Here is a 21,948-nt window from a genome sequence, read left to right as displayed (position 1 = left end):
AGCTGGGCTGGGAGAACAAAGGACAGGGATACATAAAAGTGCTTCTTATTCCTGCAAATCAAAGATTTCATCTGTACTTCAGGTGTGAAAAATTAAAAGGCAATTATATTTAGACTCTTTAAGCCTTTATCACTTCATTCTGCCTCAAGTATATACTGAATGATATTTAACTTTAAAATTCCAACCTTTGTCCAATCGCATGCAAAACAGAATTTTTCAAGACATGGCTTATTTGTGTCTTATGTGAAAATCTATTTCATTCCTGAAATTCTTAATATGATAATGTCAAAAATATACTTGGGTTACATTTTTTTAAAATTTCAATTAGTTTTCAATCTGCAGACTGCATTAGGGAAAATTTTCTAAAGTAGGATTTGCTGTTCATGTTTTATAAAAATAATATCCAAAGTGAAATCAAACAGGTTTAAAACCAATTTTTATTATTCATTATATCTTAGCCAGGAAAAATTTTTTAACTAGGTCCTCAGGTATGTTATATGCATGAATAAACACAAGAGTTTAACGAAGTGCTTTTGAATAATATGTAGTGAATTTTAATGAAAAATGGCTTACCTTCATCACAATTTTTACAATGACATGTCTTTTATTTCAATAAGACCATTTTGAGTTATTGAATCATTGAGTTTAGCAATTAGTGGACAGATAGGTCTTGTTGTTTAGCAGTAACTTTAAAAACCTGACTTCAGAATCTCCTTTAATCTATATAGAAGGCAATATCAACACAATATTTGACATGTGAAATGTAGTGCTGTCAAAATCAAGTATTGATTTTTTATATTAAAAACATCATAATGGAATTGAATTTTATACCTTTTCCCAATTCATCTATATTTATACTTTATTACTTCTTTAGAACTGTCAACCAAAATTAGCATTTTAAATTCTAGAGCACTGTTTTAAACAAATATTCCATTCACAAATTAAGGTTCTAATTTGGGTAAATCTATGGCTTCTGTTTTTTGGGATAATGATATTCTAGGTCATCACAAAAATTTGAATCTGCAAGAGCAAAGTAACGAAAAAAATTGAATACAAGCATACTGAAATTTTAGTATGCAGCAAGTCCAATAGAAGTTATCATATTTTGGAAAAATGTATAATGGGTTGTAGCTACAATATAAAGAAAGGTTATTATTAATTACAATTATATTTACTGTCTTATCAATTTATTTAAATAACAATTGCTTAAATGGATAAAATTTTCTAAAAGGAAACATACACTACACACTTAGAATGTGCATTCCAAGAATGTTTTAAATGCCTTTTATCATCCATACTCTGGCAGACCTCACCAGATCTATTTAAAATTAATAGTGTTCAACTGTGTTCTGTTTGTTTATCATATAGCAATTCTGTTTGTTTATCATATGGCAGTCCACTAAGAACAAAACAACTGCAGGATGCTGAAGGCACCTCTTTTGCTGGCTGAAAAACTGGAATGTAATTACCTTTGGTTTTATGGAGATTATGCATTCTTCCATTTTTTATAGCTGAAAACAAAATGATCCTCATATACTCTCTCAGCTGCTATCCAGGAAGAGCTTGATTTTAGTGCCTAAGGAATTTTGTCTTTTACAATTTTTGGAATGTGTTCTGGTCACAGATCTCTCATCAAACATTTCAGAAGTAGGATTCAATAAATTATCTGAAATCAAGTATAATATTATTCTTTTTAAAGTTTCATGCTGTTCCGGCCCAGCAGGATGGTAACATTTTTGCTCTGTGTGAGGTCTGCAGTGTAAATACCTATTTGAAGATAGATAGAGCCATCATTCTGGCTTTGGTTTCAATGAACCAATAGTCTTACTGAAGTCAATTAAACTGACTCAGCCAAAGCTGCAACAGTGTTTTAGACAGATGAGTCTGGGTGTGTGTAGGGTAATTTCTTCCTCTTTTTTGCCTATGTGTCTGTGTCTTATATAGGTCCTTAACTTTATTTCTGATGATGCCGTCAATCTTAAGAAGAAATTTAAGCTAATTTCCTGTTTCAATTTTTAAAAGCCGTATACAAAACCATCACAGTGGTTTAAACTAAATATACTTCAGAAATCACGTAAAACTTCGAAACATTATTACAGCATGCCTAGTAATCATTGTGGCTGTTGCTAATTTATAACATCTGGCAGGTCATCCTTTAATCTTTAGCCACACGAAAATAAAATCCATAGAAGAAGGGTAAGATAAATAGGGGATACACAGTAAAGTGTGGCCTCCAACTATAGCTTATCAACAAATAGTAAAATGGGTGACAGAGACCTTCTGTATTTCTCTTTATTTACCAAGTAACTAAACAAAGAGGGCAAAAGGCAGCCACATGGGTTCGATGAGGGGACAAAAGGAGAAAATACATGACAGTATATTAAGATGTCGCCTTAAGATCACTTGGTACACAAAAAGTTATTTCTAAAAATCATATGCCTACAAGGTTGTTCAGCTGTTGGATAGAACACATGTGTCTCTGAACTATAGTGCTGGATTATGTCATTAAAGAGTTCAGTTTCAATTTTAGGCTAATATGTAAATAGATCATTGTACTAAGGCAGCTGTTAAAGGGACCCCAGGATGAGTTATTTGTTTAGTTGGATGTGTTCAACAATAGCCTTTGTCCCTGAAAGAGCCAGAGCAAACAAATGATTGTAAAAGGGCACACTTGAAAACAATTACTTTTCACCCATTCCTTGACAGCTTTGGCTGTGAAACCACCCAAGGTAGAGAGAGCTTCTATGCCTCTGTGGCTACAAGTTAAGTTTTAGAAATGAGGGTATTTCAGTTGGTTGCAGATTCAGTTTGGTTAATAAGAATTAGATCCTTTTAGCATGCTGTATTTAGAAAGTGCGAAAATATTGCTAAGATAATATGACTTCCTAAATTTTGACAGTACTTATTTGTCATGGTAGTTAACAATCTTATTACAATATACAACATTATTAAAATATACAAAAAATTAAAATAGAGCATAATTCCATGGCTAAAGAATTGAACTCAATTCTAGTTCATTAAAAAAATTTCTTAGCCTAGAAACAGGACTTAATTGCATAGCTGAGCATGCTAATATTCCTACCTAGTTTGCTACTATCTATTTGTCTAAGAAATTTCTTCCTGTAGGAAAAAGCTACTACTGTAGTTTCTTGAAAAGCTGCAGAAATCTTTCTGGGGAATTTTTTTTTTTCTTCCATAAACAAAAAAGGGCCCTTTCAAATAGCAATCATCTCTCCTGTATACACATTATGAAATAAGATCCTAACATATATTATAATCCAGGAAGGCTTACGGGAAAAAGGGAAACACTGAAGTTTATTATAAAATAACATGTTTTAAAAACTATTAAAACTTGAAAACTAACATAGGTCAAGAATGCATATGCATAGCTATAGCAAATCTCTGTTTTGAACAATTTGGGTATTGTTGATTTATAAACCTCTTGTAATAGAACCAGCAAAAGTCTAGTGTACCAAACTTAATTCAGACACACTTTCCAAATGAGTAGGGGTTTGTTGGAGATTGGAAGCACATAAAACAGAAAGGAATGTATATAGTTAACATGGCAGATTGCTTCCTAAAGAATGATTTCTTTAAAAAAATTTTTATATAACTTCTCTTAAGGGCTATAACTCCCCTTGGTCCCATCCCCCTTCCCCTTCTCCTCACCATTTAGTCAAGAACAAAATTTTCATTCCACATGTCTCTGGAAGAGTTGAGTATTGCAGGGGTCTCTAGATCATCAGTATATTCATAGTACGTATTGCACCAAGGGAGACTTAATGGCAAATATTTCTAAACTTTTCTCTGAATTTCCTGGTTCTTTAGGGCTCCTGATAAAACCTTTAAGGTGACCTGAATATAGCTATTTTGAAACTTAATTCAGTTGCAACACAGGAGCTTAAAGACATTGCTTTGAATAAAATCCTGGAATATCTGTTCCCTGAATCTCAGGCTCCTGCTGCATATGGTAAGAATAAAAAGAGAGTTGCAGCTGAAAACCTGCAGCAAGACAGTTCTCACTCATCTGGGAATAGAAGGAGTTGGACAAATGCTCCCTCAAAAGGCATGAACATTTGGACAGAGCTGGGGACTGAAAGAGAATGATGTTCTCTAGTTTCACCCATTAGTGAACCAACTAACAAATACAATGGTGTTGTTGTTATTCTTTTGCCATAAGCAACAGGACTCTGTGTGTGGGCAGCAGTTTAGTGGGGAGGAGGATAAGTCGACCCCTTTTTGTCCTATTGATTTTTTCCTATTTGCATGACTTGAGCAAATTAAATGATGCAATATGGCTTTTTGTTACAAAACAAAGTGAGAGATACCACCCAGACACATATGTTGATTCGTAGGAGCTGTTTACATGAGAATAGAGTGAAATCTACCGTGAACTGAGCATAAAAATTAGATTCAGCCTGGGTATTTTTTTTTTTTATTATGCCTGGGCCAGCAAGACTGAAGCACAAGTTTTCCAAGAGTCTCTCAGACCTTGACAACTGGCAGTGTTCTAACAGAGGAATTCTTAATTAAACCTAAAATGGGGAAAGGGAGGGGGAGCAAAGACACCTGATTGTTTATTTCACGTGCAGTGATTGTTAATGATGTGAGCCAGCAATGATTCCTTGGAGTACAGTAGATACCACCCATGACTGCATCTCCTGGCAAGAACGATATTGCAAACTCAAAAACAAGCGTGCCTTTACAGTCAACAAACACCATGTTAGTATTTAAACTTATTAACACAAGGATAACGTAAATGCCATTACTCTTAAAACAAATTCTTAGAGTAGATCTTCCAAGACACCAACTGACCCTGAAAGTCTGAATTTATAATGTTACAAAATGACGGAGAATCGTCTCAGTTTTATGTGATAAATAACGCCCCAGCAAAATCTTTCGCCAGTTTTTTTCAGGTCCCTAACCGGAGGACCAGGAGTTCCTTTCTGTTGGTTTAACTAATGTAATGCAAGACACCCCCCTCTGACGGGGCTGGGGATCATAAACCAACCATGCTTCAACATCCTTTACGATTCAATCCTCTCCCTAACCGAGCACGTGGAGAAAACAGCACAAATCTTTTTACCCTAGAAAAATAAGCCGGAAACCACAGCCACCTTAATTTACAGTTTCACCGCAGCCAATGCCCCATTCGATCCAAAACACACTGTTCATCGCGATTCTTTTAAAATATTTACCCAGCCCAGGGTGCGGGTACCGCAGAAACGTCTGTTTTCAGAGATAGGCAAGTTTGCACAGCATCCCGACCGCGGACTCTGGGGGAGGAAATGCTACTTGCTTACCCCAGAGGAACACACAACGGAATCACGTTAGCGCTATAGAAAAGTTATGGAAAGAACTCCCCCAAAGAAGTTTTGACCTTCTTACAACCACCGGCTTTGCCAGAGCCACAGGGAACCCCACCCAGCCAATATGCCAAGTACGCATCCGTGAAGCCGGTGAGTGCCTACCTTATTCTCCAGGCGCCCTAGCCCCGGGCTGTCACTCCGCAGGCAGCAGGACAGCCGAGGGTAGAAGCCACCGCACAGCATCTCTCCCCCACTCAGCAGCTCCAGCTGGGACATCATCCTCCTGTCTCTCCTTTTCAGGCGCTTCGGGGGGTTCCCATTCAGGCACCTTCTCCTCCTTGCTCCGCTCCCTTCGTTTCTTTCCCCAAACTTAGCATCTCCTTCAAAGAAGCCCAGAGCCACGGCCAGCAGCAGCAGCTTAAAGGAGAGCATCTTCAGCATCGTCTGCCCAGAGCAGCAGGGGCTGGGCGCGGGAGGATGGGGGGGAACGCCACTGCCCAGCAGGGGCACTAGGGCGCAGCTCCAGGAGGAGTTTGCGGGGCTGTAGGGCACTCCAGAGACAGAGGGAGGTGGCGGGGACAAAAATATGTACAGCGATGCAACTTTGCAAAAAATAAAAGACGCGGCGATGGGTCCAATGCCTTAGGGGAGCCCGAGGAGCGAGATAAAGTTGTGCGGATGACACCGTTTGCAGTTGTGCCAGTGTCAGTTGGGTTGGGGGCTTTCTGCTGCGGCTGGGAAGTGGGAGGAGGAGAAGGAGTTGGAAGAGGAGGAAGAAAAGGAGAGGACAGCCACAGATGTTCACTTGTCCGTGTAACGGGAGTTGTTTAGGTGGGACAGTAGCAGGAACAGAAACGGCGACGGCGGCGGCGGGGCAGGCGGAGGCAGGGCCAGCGCTGGGCTCTAGATGATGCTGAGGTCTCCTCTGCCGGCGGCTGCAGCTTCTCACACAGCCTCTCATGTTTCGTTCCCTCTTTTCTTCTTCTTTTTAACTAGCGCGCGGGGAGGTGCTGCCACAGCGCGCCCCTTGACGTCACCGCTTCTCGCGCGCCCCCGCCCAGGGTGGAGGGAAGGGGAGGGGGCGGCCCCCGCGCGAGCGCGTCCCCCGGGCCCCGGCGGCCTCCCTGCTGCGGCGGGGAGGGGCGGCTAGCCGCGACGGCGGCGGACGGAGGGGGAGGGCCGCGAGCCTTCGGAACCAGCCTCGAGGGTGCTGAACCCCGCGCGCCCGCCTCGCCGCGGCCCCCGGGTGGGGGCGTCCACGGCCCGGGTTCCCGGCGGGCTTGGGGCAGGGACGCAGTCCGGAGATTCCGGGACTGCCCGGCTGCTGCAGCCCGCAGGCTCCTCTCTCCTCCCCGCTTCCCCTCCGCACTGCCTGGGCTAAAGGCGGCCAAGCTGAGGCTCCGAAAGAAAGTAAGTAAGAGTGGGCCGTAGGAGGTGGGAAGGGAGGGACCCCTTCCAGGGCCATCCCCACCTCAGCCCCCCGGCCCGCCCCTCGCCCCGTGGGAGGGTGAACTAAGTGGGCTGGAGCGGACGGGAGGGAGCTTTTGGGCCCCTTTGTCTCCCCCAGCCGCACTGACACCCCCATTTTCCACACTGATTTTCAACGTGAAGCTCAAGTCCTCAAAGATCTTTCTTGGGGTCTGACTTAGAGGCAGGGGGACATCCCAGATGCCGTTGAGTAGGCTGAGATGGTTTGGAGACTCATCCTCGCCGGAGGTCCTGCAAGCCACTGAAGTGGCACAGACGCGTGTGCGCGGAGTGGGGCGGTGTGTCGGGCCACAGGCCAAGCCCAAGTCGGCCTCCCAGAGTGTTTGCCACGGTTTGGGCGGGTTAGTCCCCGACGCCCCTTTCAGGTCCCCACATGTGTTCGGGAATAAGCCGGGCCCCGCTGGTACCATCTGGGAACACAAGTTCTTGGGCCGCAGGTGGACGGAGAGAGAAGCTGGGCGCGGAATTAGTGTTCGTTTTAACACACACAAACACACACACACACACACACACACACACACCTGCACGCACGCGCGCGCAGTCCCTGGGGAGAGGTTCCCCTGGGTGTAGAAACAGAGGCGTTAGATCTGGAGAAAGAATTAGATGCAAGTCTGAGGGCATCCAGAAGCGCTGTGCTCTACTTATCCCCGTGTATACAAGTAAATTAACCTTTTCCCCAGCTAGACAAAGTCTGTGTAAATAGTGTGTCTAAAAAGATGTCTACGTTATCAGGAGCGGTGACTTGAGGTTTACTGGATCCCTGCAAGTTGGCATCAGGACGAGCTTCTATAGGGTTGCCCACAAAATGCGCTTCTAGCCCACTTGGGTATTTAACAGAGAAGCTGATTTCCCAGAAGATGGGCTTTGATGAGGAGATAAGGCAGTTGTCCCATTTTGGCAATGGAGGAATGTTCACCACATTTGGGTTTGCTTCACTTGTTGGACATTGATTTCGCCAAGTGATTGCAAAAGTTGGTGATGGTTGAGGTGGGCAGTTGATTAAATTAATCACTTCTGGTCACAGTGGCTAGGTAAGGCTTCTGTCTTTTTCACTTCCTGAGCCTGGATATTAGTGAAGTTAGGTTTTTCCCCAAAGAGATGACACATCAGAATAACTGAAAAGAATCTGCTAGGATGTTTGGCCCAGTCCTCAGCTAAATGTAGAGCCCCCATGACATATTTAACATTTTCCCCAGGGGCTGTTGTATACACATGACTTCTTCATGCATGTGATTGTAAGTCCACTTTGGATCTCACATACTTTTTTTTATCTGACATTCTTTCTGCTTTGAGGACTTTTAATATAAAATTAATCAGAAAGCAGTAAGCACTTTAAGACTTTAAACTCATTAATAGATCTCCAGATGAATCTCATCAAATTTAAATCACTTGCACAATTTCATCTCATTAGGTAGTTTGAGAATAAGGACTCGGATCCAATCTGGGGTGCTTTCCACTATCTAACCCTTTCTTCCCAAATTCCAGTTTTATATTCTTTTTCCAAAATAAAAGTCCTTCTAAAATCGTATTTCAGTAGTTTGAGCTCCTACTCTGATAAATTCCTGTTAGTAGTTTTGAAACAGGCCTTTCTTATGGCTTATACTAAGGCCACTTAAAGGTAAATTTATTTTGGTTTTAAAATACTATGCATCTGTTATAACCTACGACCCTAAGATATAGAAAGTTTATAAAAGATTACTGAAATAAGACATGCTTGTTATTTCTTGATATATGGAAATTAGAATTGATTTCATATACTGTTTGTCCTGAAAGTCAATAAATTGGGTCACTTAGGAGATAGCTTGAGCTTATTCTTAGTGTTACTGATATAATTTCTAAACAGTTACTAAGCAGTGTTATACAAATGGACTAACTTCTGATTTGTTTTTTCCAGAGGGAAAATTGCAACCCTTGCCTACAACCAGACTGACAGCATAATTTCTTAGGAATCAAGAATCAATACAGGGTTATTTCTTTAGATTAAACCTTAAAAGCCCCCTTGGAGGCTGAAGAAGCAGAGGATAGCCATGCATACACTTGAACGTGAAAAATGGTCCTCTTTCATTGGAGAGGTCTTCCTCTTCAGCTAAACCGACAGAGTGGTGAAAAGAAGAAGGGACCCCTTGTTGACCAAAATAATCCAGACAAATCAAATCGGCCCTTTCCAGCAAGGAGTGGAACAGCCCAAGGGTGGCTAGATCACATCTTCTGCTCACACCACCACTGAGCAACCCTCTCCAGGACTGCCACCTATGCATAGGTCATGCCCTGTGCAAGAGCACATAAAGTGGGAGCTGAAGTCCTGCCCAGGCTCCATTCACCAAGCAGAGCTTATGTTGTTGTGTGTCTGTGTCTACCCAGAGGATGTGGGTCCTTTTTAAAATGTGCACCAATGCATCTTGTATGAGCTGGCACCAGCTCGGACCATCCCACCCTCATACCCTGGTCCTATCCAGGGTTATATTCCCTACTTTAGAAGAATTAATTATTTTTATGAACGTATTTAGTTTATTGTAAAAAATGAAATATATGACACAAATTGAAATTAATTTCAGAGGTAAAGGTCAGAATATTACCATGTATGTGAATTATGTTTGTATGTATATGTATATATCAAGAGAGTTATATGAATATACATTTTTGTGTATCAGAAGTGAGGACAATTTAACTTTGTTAAGTGTTTGAAATAAAATTATTTTGAGTTTTGGAATCAGTTTTATGTATGGATTTCTGGCCTTCACAGAAATATGTACTATTTAATTCCATTTCAACAAATATATATTAAGTGTCAGGCACCGTGCTAAACAGTATGTATATAGTACTGAAAAATAATGCAAACACCCTGCTTCTAGGTAGTTAATAATCTAGTATAGAAGACAAATGATAAGGTCACAAATAAAATTACAGTTATAAATTGTGGTAAAAGGTATGAAAGAAATGCTAAGGTACAGAATAACAAAGCACACCTATTTCAGATTAAGTGACTGGAAAAAACTTCTCTGGGAAAATGACATTTCAGTTGAGACTTAGGATGACTTGGAAGGAGTACGAAGTGACTCCAACCACTGTTTAAAGTATAGGATCTTTTGAGTTCAGAATATAATTTGATACATTTGAGGAGAAGTGCAGAATAGATAACTCAGAATGGAAAGGCTAGAGGCCAAATTCGTAGATTTTTAGTTTATACACTCCAGGTAACTAATTAAGTTAGTGCCATGTATTTGTCATTTCCTTTTGTTTTTGCAAGTGCTCTTTCTTTCCTACCTTATACTTATCCATCTTTGTCTCTTTCTTTAAATTCTGGCTTAACAGCAACCTCTTCTAAGAATTATTCTAGTTTGAATGGCCTTTCAAGCATTGCACTTCATCTAAAAAGCATATAGATACATTTTATTTATTTTCTTTTGTGCATCATTGGTAAATACCTGAGATGTTTTTATATGTGCAAGTTGAATATTCATGAGATTATAATCTCCAGAAGGGCAGGAATTGCATTTCCTTCTTTGGAGACGCCAACATAGTTTAGTTTAGACTCATAGTAGAGCAACCGGCCTCTCAATAAATGCTGCTGAGTGGCTGATCTTGATTGAGTTGATAATTTTTAAAGGTTTAAAATGGAGCTCATATTTGCATTATAAAAACTTTAAATTGGGCCAGGCACAGTGGCTTGCCCCTGTAATCCCAGCAACTGGGGAGTCCAAGGTAGGAGGATTGATTGAGCCCCAGAGTTCGAGACCAACCTGGGCAACATAGTGAGACTCCATCTCTAAAAAAATTAGAAAAATTATCCGGGCATGGTGGAGCACACCTGTAGTCCCAACCACTTGGGAAGCTGAGGTGGGGGGATCACTTGAGCCCAGGAGATCAAGGCTGCATGCAGTGAGCTATGATTGCACTGCACTCCAGCCTGGGTGACAGAACAAGACCCTGTCTCAAAAAGTAAATTTTGAAATAGAAGAAAGCACACAATTTAAAGTGCACCATCACTAAGGAAGTGCAGCTGACCTTTCTACTAAAGTGTGATTCCACAGAGGAAGGACGGCCAGCAAAGCGAGGCAATAAATACACAGCCTTTAAAAATTAAAGATTGGTTATAATTCAGGTAAATGGACACAATGGTAGGGCTGCTTCTAGGATTTTTTCTACAGTTAGTCTTTCTTTCAAAAGTCAGCACCTACTGTGTGCCAGAGCCTGCTCTGGACCCTAGGAACACAGCAGTGAACAAAACTTTTTTCATGGAACTCATATTGTAATGGGGAAGACGGGTAACGATATAGAGTATACCAGATGGGGAGGAATGCTGCAGAGAAAAGGGAGCATGGGGAAAGATTGCAGGGGTTGGGAGAAATAATAATTTTGTATACATTGTCAGGAAAAGTGTTTACTGGGGCAATATTTGGGCAGATACAAGAAACAAGGGCAGAGAAATAGCCAGGGTCCACATTGCATGGGATCTTATAAGGTATGTTATGGATTTAGACTCTTAATTCGGAATGAGATGGTTTTCAATCAGGGGCCTTTGTCAGAAATAAACCATGCTAGCTATTTTCACAGTGCAAATTACATATGAGGAATTAGTTAAATAGGTGTCAGGGAACTGAAAAGGCAAAAGGGGAACACTACTGCAGGAAGCCACTCCCATCCCTAGGGATTGAGGACGAGGGAAGAGTTGGGGTTAATAGAACCTAGATGCTTGTTGGAGAGCCCTTGTAGAGCTGTGTAGATAGGGTTGCTGCCTAGCGGGTGTTGATAACCTGAGATGATGAAATGAAGCTGATGATGTCAGTGCGGGAAGAAGATTGGAGGCTGAAACCAGTTGCTATTGACAGGATATATTCCTTTCCTAGAACTGCCTTAACAAGGTACCACAAAACTAGGTGGCTTAAAACAACAGAAATTCGGCCGGGCCGGGTGGCTCATGCCTGTAATCCCAGCACTTTGGGAGGCCGAGGTAGGTGGATCACCTGAGGTCGGGAGTTTGAGACCAGCCTGACCAACATGGAAAAACCCCGTCTCTACTAAAAATACAAAATTAGCCGGGAGCGGTGGCGCATGTCTGAATCTCAGCTACTTGGGAGGCTGAGGCAGGAGAACGCTTGAACCTGGGAGGCGGAGGTTGCGGTGAGCAGAGATCGCTCCATCGCACTCCAGCCTGGGCAACAAGAGTGAAACTCCATCTCAAACAACAACAACAAAAACCCAGAAATTTATTATCTCAGTTCTGTAGGCTAGAAGTCTGAAATTAAGATGTTGGCAGGGTTGGCTCCTCCTAGAGATATGAGGCACAATGTGTCTGGGCTTCTCTCCTAGCTTCCGGCAGCCTCCAGTGTTTTTCTCCTTGGTTTGTAGGTAGTGACCTCTCTATATCTGTTCTCTATGCATGACTATCTCTGCATCCAAATTTCTCCTTTTTATAAGGACACCAGTCATATTGGATTAGACTTCACCCTAATGATCTCATGTTACCTTGATCATTAGCAAATACACTATTTCCAAATCAGGTCATATTTACAGGTACCGGGCATTAGGATTTTAACATCCTTTTGCGGGACACAATTTAATCCATAACACAGGATAAGGGCTCATTGCTGGGGTAATGTAGCCAGGAACTGCAAACTAAGAGAAAGGAGCAAGTCTTTTCTCTCTCTCTTTTGCCTTCTAGCCTCCCTCTAGTGCCCTATCTTAGGTAAGATTTTCTATAAACAGAGGCTGAAACAGGGATTCTTGGAAAGTAATTCATTGAGAAGAACTAAGGAAGAGGAGGTTGAGAACAGCAGAATATGGCCAGGGAAGGAAGCTAAATAAGGGTGGAAGCGGGATCTATCTTCAGCCTAATTCCAAGGGGGCTCTGGAGCATGAATTGCACCATAGAATTGGTTCCAACTTGAAACAAGGGTAGAGGGATTAATTTTTTTTAACCCTTATAATAGTGGGTTATTATTTGCAGGTTTTCCCCTTAGGGGTCATGCATCCCCAGGTAGGCAGGTTCCATTCTGCCAAGAACAATTCTCTGGAGATAGGACAGCTGTGAACTGTTAGCAGCATGGTGAGCTGTGGTAGCCTCCACTTTTCAAGGAATCTGTCCATTTCATCTATTGGCACAAAGTCGTTCATAACGATTGCCTTGTTATCCTTTTATTCTATAGAATCTGTAATAAAGTCACTTATCTCATTCCTGATATTGGTGGTAATTTGCATCTTTTTTTTCTTAGTTCTTCGTCAATCTGACTGTAGGTTTATCAATTTCACTGATTTTTTTTCAAAGAACCAGCTCTTGGTTTTATTTATTTTCTTTATTGTTTTTCTTTGTAATTTAATTGATTTCCTCTCTGATCTTTATTGTTTATTCTCTTCTGCTTACTTTGGGTTTAATTTGCTCTGATTTTGATAGTTTCCTAAAATGAAACCTGAGGTCAGTGATTTGAGACCTCTTTCTGTCTTGGTGTCTCTCTCTCTTTCTAATGTAGGTATTTTCCTCTTAATACTGCTTTAGCCACATTCCAGAAATTTTGAAATGTCATGCTTTCATTTTCATTCAGTTCAAAACACTTTCTAATCCCTCCTTTAAGTTCTTCTGTGACCAAAGACTTGGGGATTTATTTTTGAAGACGTTCGGTTGTTGATTCTAACTCAATTCCATTGTTTTTAGTGAATATATTCCATATGCATAGAATTTTTAAATTTTTGGCACTTTCTCTGGGCAGGAAAATGGTCCATTTTGATAAATATTCTGTGTACAGTTGAATGTATGCTCTGCTGTTTTTGCGTGGAGCGTTCTATGAGAGTGTGATTACGTCAATTTAGTAGATAGCATTGTTCAAGTCTTATGTTTTCTTTTCTATTTTTTATCTACTTGTTTGTTAACTATTGAAAGGTTATTTATATCTCTGAATAGGGGTTTATCTGTTTCTTCTTGCAGATCTATTAATTTTTGCTTTGTGTAATTTGAAGCTTTGTTGTTGGGTACATAAACATTTAGGATTGTTATGTCTTCCTAATGAATTGAACCTTCTGTCATCATAAAATGTCTTGCTTTCTTCCTAGTAATATTTTTTGTCCTAAAATATTCTATTATTAATATAACCACTCCTATTTTCTTTTGATTAATGTTAACATGATATATTTTTTCCCATCCTTTTACTTTTAACCTATTTCTGTCTATTTAAAGTACAGCAGCATAGGATTGAGTTTTGCTTATATTTGCCAATATGATAACCTATGGCTTTTAATTAAGATGTTTAAACCCTTTACATTTGATATAATTAGTAGTTCAGTTGGGTTTAAAATCCATTACCTTACTATTTGTTTTCTATTTGTCCTATCTATTGTTTATTTCCTTTTTACTCTTTTCCCTATTTTGGGGTTCATCATTTTTTATTATTGCATTTTATTTCTGTTATTGGCTTATTGCCTCATATTCTTTTTTTAGTGGTTACTTTAGGGTTTAACTTGTCACATTATATGTTCAGTTAATATTACACCACCTCATGTATAAAAACCTTAAAACAATATACTTTCATTTCTCCTTTCCAACCTTTGTACATATGTTACCTGTATGTTATATACTTCAGTATGGTATTAATATTTTTTATTTAGATAGACATTTATCTTTTAGAGAGATTTTAAAATAAGAAAAGTCTTTTAGATTTATCCATATATTTACCGTTTCTACTGCTATTTATTTTTTAGTGTAAATCCAAACTTCTATCTGATAAGATTTTTCTTCTGCTTGAAGAACATGTGTTAACAGTTCTTGTAGTAAGGATCTGGTGGTGATAGTTATATTTTCAGCTTTTGTATATCAGAAAAAGTCTCTACTGCTATTTGTTTTTTAGTGTAAATCCAAACTTCTATCTGATATGATTTTTCTTCTGCCTGAAGAACATGCGTTAACAGTTCTTGTAGTAAGGGTCTGCTGGTGATAGTTTTATTCTCAGCTTTTGTATATCGGAAAAAGTCTTTTTTTTTTTAACCTTTGTTTTTGAGAGACAGTTTTTCCGGGTATAGAATTTTAGGTTGACAGATTGTTTTTTTCCCTTCAGTATTTATAGATGTTGCTCTATTATCTTCTTAATTACATTTTTCCAGTGAGAAATTACCCTCATTCTTATTTTGTTCCTCTGTATATAATGTGTCTTTTTTCTCTGATTGCTTTTCATATTTTTCCTTTATCAATATCTTTAAGCCATTTGATTCTAATATACCTTGGTGTAGTTTTCTTCATATTCTTGTGCTTGAGGTTATTCTTGGATCTGTAGGTTTATAGAGTTCATCTAATTTTTTTGGTTATTATATCTTCAGTGTTTTCCTCCTCCCCATCTTTCAAGGACTCTGTATATATATTAGGCCACTTGAAGTTGTTCAACAGCTCACTGAAGCTCTGTTCATTTATTTTTTTAGCCTTTATTCTTTGTGTCTCATTTTAGATAATTTCTGTATCTTTTAGACATTTAGGTAATTCTAAATGTCTAATCTTCTGTTTACCTCATCAAATGTATTTTTTTTAATTTTAAGCATTGCATTTTTATCTCTAAATTTTGATTTGAGTCTTTTAAAGTCTCTTCAGTCTGTTCTTTGCCTGATTCATCTTTCTCTACATTCTTGCACATTTTTGAGCATAGGGAATAGACAGTTTTAATACCTATCTTAATGTCCTTGTGTATTGATGTTGTTACGTGTGTCAGTTCTGGAACTGATTTTGTTGATTTTTGTCTCTTTTACAGCTCATATTTTCCTGCTTTTTTGCATGCCTGATAATTTTTATTAGATTTTGGTTTTAGACAAAGTGTTTGTGTCCTCACAAACTTCAGATGTTGAAATCCTAATTCCTAATGCGATAGTATTAGGAGGTGAGACCTTTGGTAGGTAGTTTCTGCATGGAAGTGGAGCCTTCATAGATGAGATTGGTGCCCTTACTGAAGAGACTCCAGAGAGCTCTCTCACTTTTTTCTGCCATGTGAAGATACTTGGAGAAGTTGGCCATCTGCAACCTGGAAGACGGCTCTTACCGGAACTTAACCATGTTGGCACCCTAATCTCTGACATCCCACCTTCCAGAGCTGCGAAAAATAAATATTTGTTATTTAACCCACCAGTCTATGGTAATTTATTTTAGCAGCCCAAACTAAGACAGATTATAAATACTGTGACATTTACTTTGTTGGATGCTTGGCATTATAGTTCTATAAATATTCTTGAGTTTTGCTCTGAAGTACAGTTAAATTACTTAGTAATAGTTTGATCTTTTCAAGCCTGCTGTTAAACTTTGTTAGGTGAAACCAGAACCACCTCCATTCTAAATCTTATTTTCTCCACTACTAAGACAATACTATTCTAAGTTTGCCTAGAAAAAAATGGACACTACCTGATTTTCCTTGAATTATGAGGTGTTCTCCTCTGGCTCTTGTAACACCAACTATTCTTAGGCCTATGTGAGCTCTAAGGACCTACTTCTTTCAAGTGGTTCTTCCCTTTTCTCTAGTAATTTCCCAATATGCATTCTGTGCTGAATACACAGCTAAAGAATTGGAGGGTATCCCTCTGTGGATCTCCATAGCTTTCTGTGTGCAGCTGGCTCCTCTCTAGTACTCTGCTTTCTTAACACCAGTTCCCTTGGCCTCTCTAGACCCCATGTCTGTCTCTTCAGTTCAAAGTTAATGCTTAGCTCTCTCTCAATTCCCCCTCCCTGCATTGCTGCCTAGAAAATCTGTCTGGGCAGTAAACTGGGACAGACATAGGGCTTACCTTGTTTGTTTTCCCTCTCTCAGGGGTCAGTGTCCTCTGCTTACTTATTTGATATGCAATGCCTAAAAAATTTGTTCAGTGTTAATTCCCATTGTTAAAATATCATAATATTAACTATTTAGTAGTTTCAGGGGGTTGATTAATCTGATCCCTCTTATTCCATCTTGACTAGAAGCAGGAGTCTTAGATCTTTTTATTCGTGCATATAGGAAGTTTTTCAATAACCAATTCAATTACTTTAATAAATACAGGGTATAGCACGCCCAGTTACCAAGCCAGTGGGTGATTCATTTCAATATTTTATTATCAGCCTCTGTTCATGTCTTCCTGTTTCTGTGGGCCTATCACTTTATGTAATCTACAGTGTCACAAAGTAGTTGGTGGGAGTTTATTTCAGTCTTTTTCCATTTTTGCTCTTTATTATGAATGGTAATCCTAACTACATTTCCCTGTCTCATATCTAAACCTTTTAGTTCTGTCTATCACCTTTTGTTTCCAGACCCGTGACCGTGCCTTCTTCCCTACTCTGCCATTACCCTGGGGAACCATGACTCTCAGAATGTTTTTTTTTTTTTTCTGGTACTTCAACATCCACAGTTACTCATTTTGTACAGCGTGTTAAATTTATTTTGAAAACACACAACCCTTTCTATTTTTTTTTGCCTAGAGGGTAACACCTGGCTGCTGTGTATTCTGAATATAAGGAAGGGAAATCAGTAGCAGACTTTCAGTAACTGTTTCTGTTTTTAGTCTTATGCTGTACTCTGCTGCCCATCACACCTGGTATCCTTGAGTCTATAACCTCCCCCAGGTTCTGAAAGACAGAATGGCTCCCGCCTTGGCTGCAGCTTCTCCATATTTATTCTGGACTGCATCTTTTCCCAGTCTGCTTTATTGAGCTCCACTCTTCCACTAGTTTTCCACTTTCTAGAAATGTGTTGAACTAGTTTATCCACTGATAAACTTCTTATTGTTCTTTTCACAGCTCTGTGTTTGCCTCTGCCCTTTTAAATTGGTATGCAGTAATCCTTCCTTAACCTTGGGGCTATGTTTCAGGACCGCCAGTGGATGATTGCTATCAATTGAAACACATTCCTATTCATGTCTTTTACCCACAAATTTAATGTCCTTTTCATCTTAAATCTAAGATGAAAGCACTATGGCTATAACTTTTGCAGTTTGAGGTGCAACAGTAAAACTAGCACAAATTTGTTTTTCATTCTTCACAATTTCACAAATAGATTTGTTTTTACTATAGAGCTTAGCAACCTCAGCCTAAGACTTTTTCCTTAAGTAGAGGACTTTCACTTTTTGCTTCAAAAAAGCACTTTCAGGCCTCTCTCTGGCATGTCCAAATGGTCAGTACCACTCTTCTTGCACTTTGGGACTACTATTAAGTAAAATAAGCATCATCCCATCTCATCTTATAACTGAGATGCCTACTAAGTGACTAAGGGGTGGGTAGAGTATTTAGTGTGAATATACTGGATAAAGGAATGAATCACATCCCAAGTGGGACAGAATGGACAGCATGAGAATTCATCACACTACTCAGGATGGCATGCCATTTAAAGCTCACAAATTGTTTATTTCTGGAATGTTTGATTTAGTATTTTTGGGCTGAGTTTGACCACAGGTAACTGAAGCCATGGAAAGCAAAATCTTGAATAAGGGAGGACTACTGAATATTATTTTAGTGGAATCCCAGGAAAAAGATGGGATAAATTTATAGGCTCAGTTTGCCGTCTTGAACTGACACCACTTGCTATTTAGTTGCTAAAACTAAAGATATATAGTAACTAACATTTAATTATTTAATTGACACTGTGACAAATTCCTTTCCCTGAAACTATGTCTTCTCCTGTTTCAGTAACTCCAGTCTCAACTGGGTTTCCTATTTATCTGGATACAACTCCTCAGCCTTCACTTCCTCTCTACATCTCTTTTACATGTTTATGTACCCCTAATTTCTATCCTTGGCTCTTCTTGATATTATCTTTGGACATTTTTGCTTGGATATCCAGCTAGTATTTCAAACTCCGCAATCCCAAACTGAACTGGTCATCTTTATTTCTAAATCTGCTCCTCCACATGTACTTTCTGTCTCGATGAACAGTACATTAGTACTTTTTTTTTTTTTTTTTTGAGATAGAGTCTCTTTCTGTCTCCCAGGCTGGAGTGCAGTGGCACGATTTCGGCTCACTGCAACCTCCATCTCCCAGGTTCAAGCGATTCTCCTGCCCAGTCCCCGAGTAGCTGGAACTACAGGCATCCACCACTATGTCCCGCTAATTTTTGTATTTTTAATAGAGATGGGGTTTCGCTATGTTGGCCAGGCTAGTCTCGAACTCCTGACCTCAGGTGATCCACCTGCTTCTGTCTCCCAAAGTGCTAGGATTACAGGCATGAGCCACTGCACCTGGCCAGTACGTTCATACTTCTAATCACAAGTCTAAAAATTTATGAGCCATCCTCACTTCCTCTTTTAGATACAATTGGCCGTTATGTCTTGTGCATAGTACCTCTTAAATATTGCTCAAAATTATATACTTCTTTCCATCCTCTCAGCTATTGCTTCTTTAACAAACATTTTAAATTTTTCACTATAGAAAATTTTAAACACAGTAAAATACAACTGTGGCTCCGCTTCATCAATTACCAACATTTGGCTAATCTAATTTAATGTATATTCCTCTCTATTTCATCCCTCCACTGGATTATATTAAAATAAGTACTGGATGCTATATCATTTCCTCGGTAAAACGTATGCATTTCTAAAAGGAAAAAATTCTTAAAACATAGGAACAAAATTCCTTAATAATTTATTCTCGTGTCCACTATGAAATATATTAATATGTCCACTACATTTTCTTGATTGTCACATATATTTATAATAGGTCCGTTCAAATCTGGAACTAAGCAAGATCCATGCAATGCATTTGGTTGACATAACTTTACTGATTCTTCTTTAGTTTAGAGAGGTTCCTCCTTTTTTAAAATTTTTAATTTTTTAAATTTTTTTATTATTTATTTATTTATTTTTTAGACAGAATCTCAGTCTGTCGCCCAGGCTGGAGTGCAGTGGCATGAGCTTGGCTCGTTGCAACCTCTACCTCCTGGGTTCAAGCAATTCTCGTGCCTCAGCCTCCCGAGCACCTGGGATTACAGATGCGTGCCATGCCACAATGCCTGGCTAAATTTTGTATTTTTAGTAAAGATGGGGTTTCTCCATGTTGGCCAGGCTGGTCTGGAACTCCTGAGCTCAAGTGGTCTGCCCACCTTGTTTTCCCAAAGTGCTGGGATTTACAGGAGTAAGCCACCACACTCAGCCCCTTTTTGTTTTTCTTTCCCATTTATTTACTGAAGAAATCAGGTCGTTTGTTCTGTAGGATCTCTCTAAACATTGCAGATTTATTTGATTGTATTGTCCTAATATCTTTAAGCCAGTTTCTGTATCTCTGTATTTTCTGTAAACTCATATTTAGTTCTAGAGGTTTGAATAGAATTTTTGCAAGAATATTCCATAAGTGGTTTCTATTTCATCATATTTGGGAACATATAATGTATGGCTATTTCTCTCATTGTAAGAATAAGACTTTTCAATGACTTTAAGCATTATTATACTAATCCATTCACTTAAAAAATTTCTATAATCATCTATCTAAAGGGTTCAACAGCTATTCATGATCATTGTCTAGGTCCATTATATGTTAGGGGCCTATCATTTCTTATCAGCGTTACTATAACATCTCCCTAAGCTTTCCAAGCCTATAATTTATTTCCTTCAACTCTACTCCATTATGCCTAGTGCCACTAAATGAATTTTTGTATACCACGACTCATTTCATATGCTTCTCCTGCATAAAATTATTCAACGAATTCATAGTCAATTAAGAAAAAAGTCCAGATTCTATAGGAAAAATATATGAGCTTTTATCATCTGACCCCTGCTGACCTGTCTATTATTCACTTTACATTTATAAGTGCTTAAATTTTTCTGAAATAGAATTCTTCTTAAAGTAGGGAAGTTGCAAAATATTGGTTGAGCCTTTATGGGAATGAGAAGTAAGTTGCTGACATACAGGCAGATGGCAGAATTATTTTTATGGAGATGACATCTAAGCCCTCAAGAATGGAGCACCTGGAGAGGTCTTTGGCCCCATCAACAATAGCAACGTGACATGCTTAAGACCATGCCCCAGAGTATTGACTCCAGAGCAAGGAACTTTGGGGATGGATATTGGAAAAGGGAGGAGTTAATTTTGGCAAAGTTTTATTTAAAATGCATTAATTGTAAATTTGCCAAAAAAGGTGCATTGTTTGCTTAGGTTGTATCATCTTTTCAAGCTTCATTCCCATGACATTTTCTCTTAAAGTTACTATGCAGATATATTAATTACAGTTTAATTCATATTAAATAATCATAATTTCATAATTGTTTTAAATCTATTCAATTTATATTTAAGTTATTCATGAGTCATTGTAACTATTTTACTATATAATTAATTCATTATAAAACAGATATTAAGGACTATGTATTAATTATGTCTTATTGTTTGTACTTTACATATTATATTTACTTTTTAATTCCATTGGATAAAATTTTGTTGCTAGATTTAAAATCTTTAGGAGCAGCAGCACTTAGCAGATGGCATCTACATTTACTAAATGTCTACAATTGGTACTTTATCATGTCTGAATCATGATGGAATAATCTATCTGCAGCATTCACTACATCTGGCTACAGCTGTAGGCTCTGTAATCTACCGCCATCCCCATAGCCTCTTTGGTGCTGCCAGCCCTGTATCCTATATGTGTTTTTGAATCTCCATAACTTTGTTAACACCCCACTGGACATCCTCAATTCACTGATTTGCTCTCTGCACATTGACTGGAGTCAGTGTAATAAGGACAGAATTGAGATGGAGATCCCTGGATGCCTGCAACAGGAGTCTCATGTAGATTTCTTATGATGCCTGAAAGTTATGTCTCTTGGAATTGCATCTTGTCAAACCAAACTCAGTTAAAGCATAGCTTTATTTAGTGGTAATGGCTTAACTGTTATTTTTATAGTATTTCTTTAGTAAGCGTCAATTTTCTGTAATACCTGAATCAGCTGCAAGTGGTGTAATTTATTAATACATTTTCCTTCCATGGAATTTCAACGGTGAGCTAATGGGAGGAGAGGGTGTGCAGAAATGGTACTTAATTATAAAATAATGGAAAACAGTCTCTACATCGTGAAATTACCTCATAAAACAGAACGATCACAACTGAGATGATTCAGTAATTAATGATTACATCAATTAAATTAACTTATTTGTATCTCAACTCTATGTAAATGTTATAAGGAAGTATAATACCTTAACTATGTAAACAATAAAATATGGAAGACATTATAAATTCA

At 38.9% G+C, this 21,948-nt stretch overlaps 1 protein-coding gene and 1 long non-coding RNA gene across 4 annotated transcripts in view, besides 4 other annotated features; one reads left to right on the top strand and one right to left on the bottom strand.

The window, feature by feature from the left end:
- Nucleotides 1-6,270, bottom strand: part of HHIP (hedgehog interacting protein) — a 99,116-nt gene extending 92,846 nt beyond the window's left edge. For all 3 annotated transcript variants that reach the window (NM_022475.3, XM_005263178.6, XM_006714288.5), the window contains exon 1: nucleotides 5,472-6,270. In NM_022475.3, coding sequence (NP_071920.1) covers nucleotides 5,472-5,750 — 279 coding nt within the window. In that variant the 5' untranslated portion in view covers nucleotides 5,751-6,270. The remainder of the gene's footprint in view (nucleotides 1-5,471) is intronic.
- Nucleotides 2,252-2,888: an enhancer, noted in NCBI's record as "OCT4-NANOG hESC enhancer chr4:145570690-145571326 (GRCh37/hg19 assembly coordinates)". NCBI's record gives its function as "activates a minimal SCP1, AML or CMV promoter by ChIP-STARR-seq in naive H9 embryonic stem cells {active_cell/tissue: H9 hESC(naive)}" and the evidence as "EXISTENCE:reporter gene assay evidence [ECO:0000049][PMID:30033119]".
- Nucleotides 3,911-4,499: an enhancer, noted in NCBI's record as "NANOG hESC enhancer chr4:145569079-145569667 (GRCh37/hg19 assembly coordinates)". NCBI's record gives its function as "activates a minimal SCP1, AML or CMV promoter by ChIP-STARR-seq in naive H9 embryonic stem cells {active_cell/tissue: H9 hESC(naive)}" and the evidence as "EXISTENCE:reporter gene assay evidence [ECO:0000049][PMID:30033119]".
- Nucleotides 5,740-6,305: an enhancer, noted in NCBI's record as "H3K4me1 hESC enhancer chr4:145567273-145567838 (GRCh37/hg19 assembly coordinates)". NCBI's record gives its function as "activates a minimal SCP1, AML or CMV promoter by ChIP-STARR-seq in naive H9 embryonic stem cells {active_cell/tissue: H9 hESC(naive)}" and the evidence as "EXISTENCE:reporter gene assay evidence [ECO:0000049][PMID:30033119]".
- Nucleotides 6,407-9,510, top strand: HHIP-AS1 (HHIP antisense RNA 1). The gene is made up of 2 exons (NR_037595.1): nucleotides 6,407-6,719; nucleotides 8,692-9,510. It is a non-coding gene; the product is annotated as an HHIP antisense RNA 1 (long non-coding RNA).
- Nucleotides 17,071-17,130: an enhancer, noted in NCBI's record as "active region_21958". NCBI's record gives its function as "activates an Ori minimal core promoter by ATAC-STARR-seq in GM12878 lymphoblastoid cells {active_cell/tissue: GM12878}" and the evidence as "EXISTENCE:reporter gene assay evidence [ECO:0000049][PMID:35858748]".

Source organism: Homo sapiens, chromosome 4 (genome assembly GCF_000001405.40).
Source record: "Homo sapiens chromosome 4, GRCh38.p14 Primary Assembly".
Classification (NCBI taxonomy): Eukaryota; Metazoa; Chordata; class Mammalia; order Primates; family Hominidae; genus Homo; species Homo sapiens.
The sequence above is the reverse complement of the archived record's forward strand: the minus strand, read 5'-3'. Positions and strand labels throughout refer to the sequence as shown.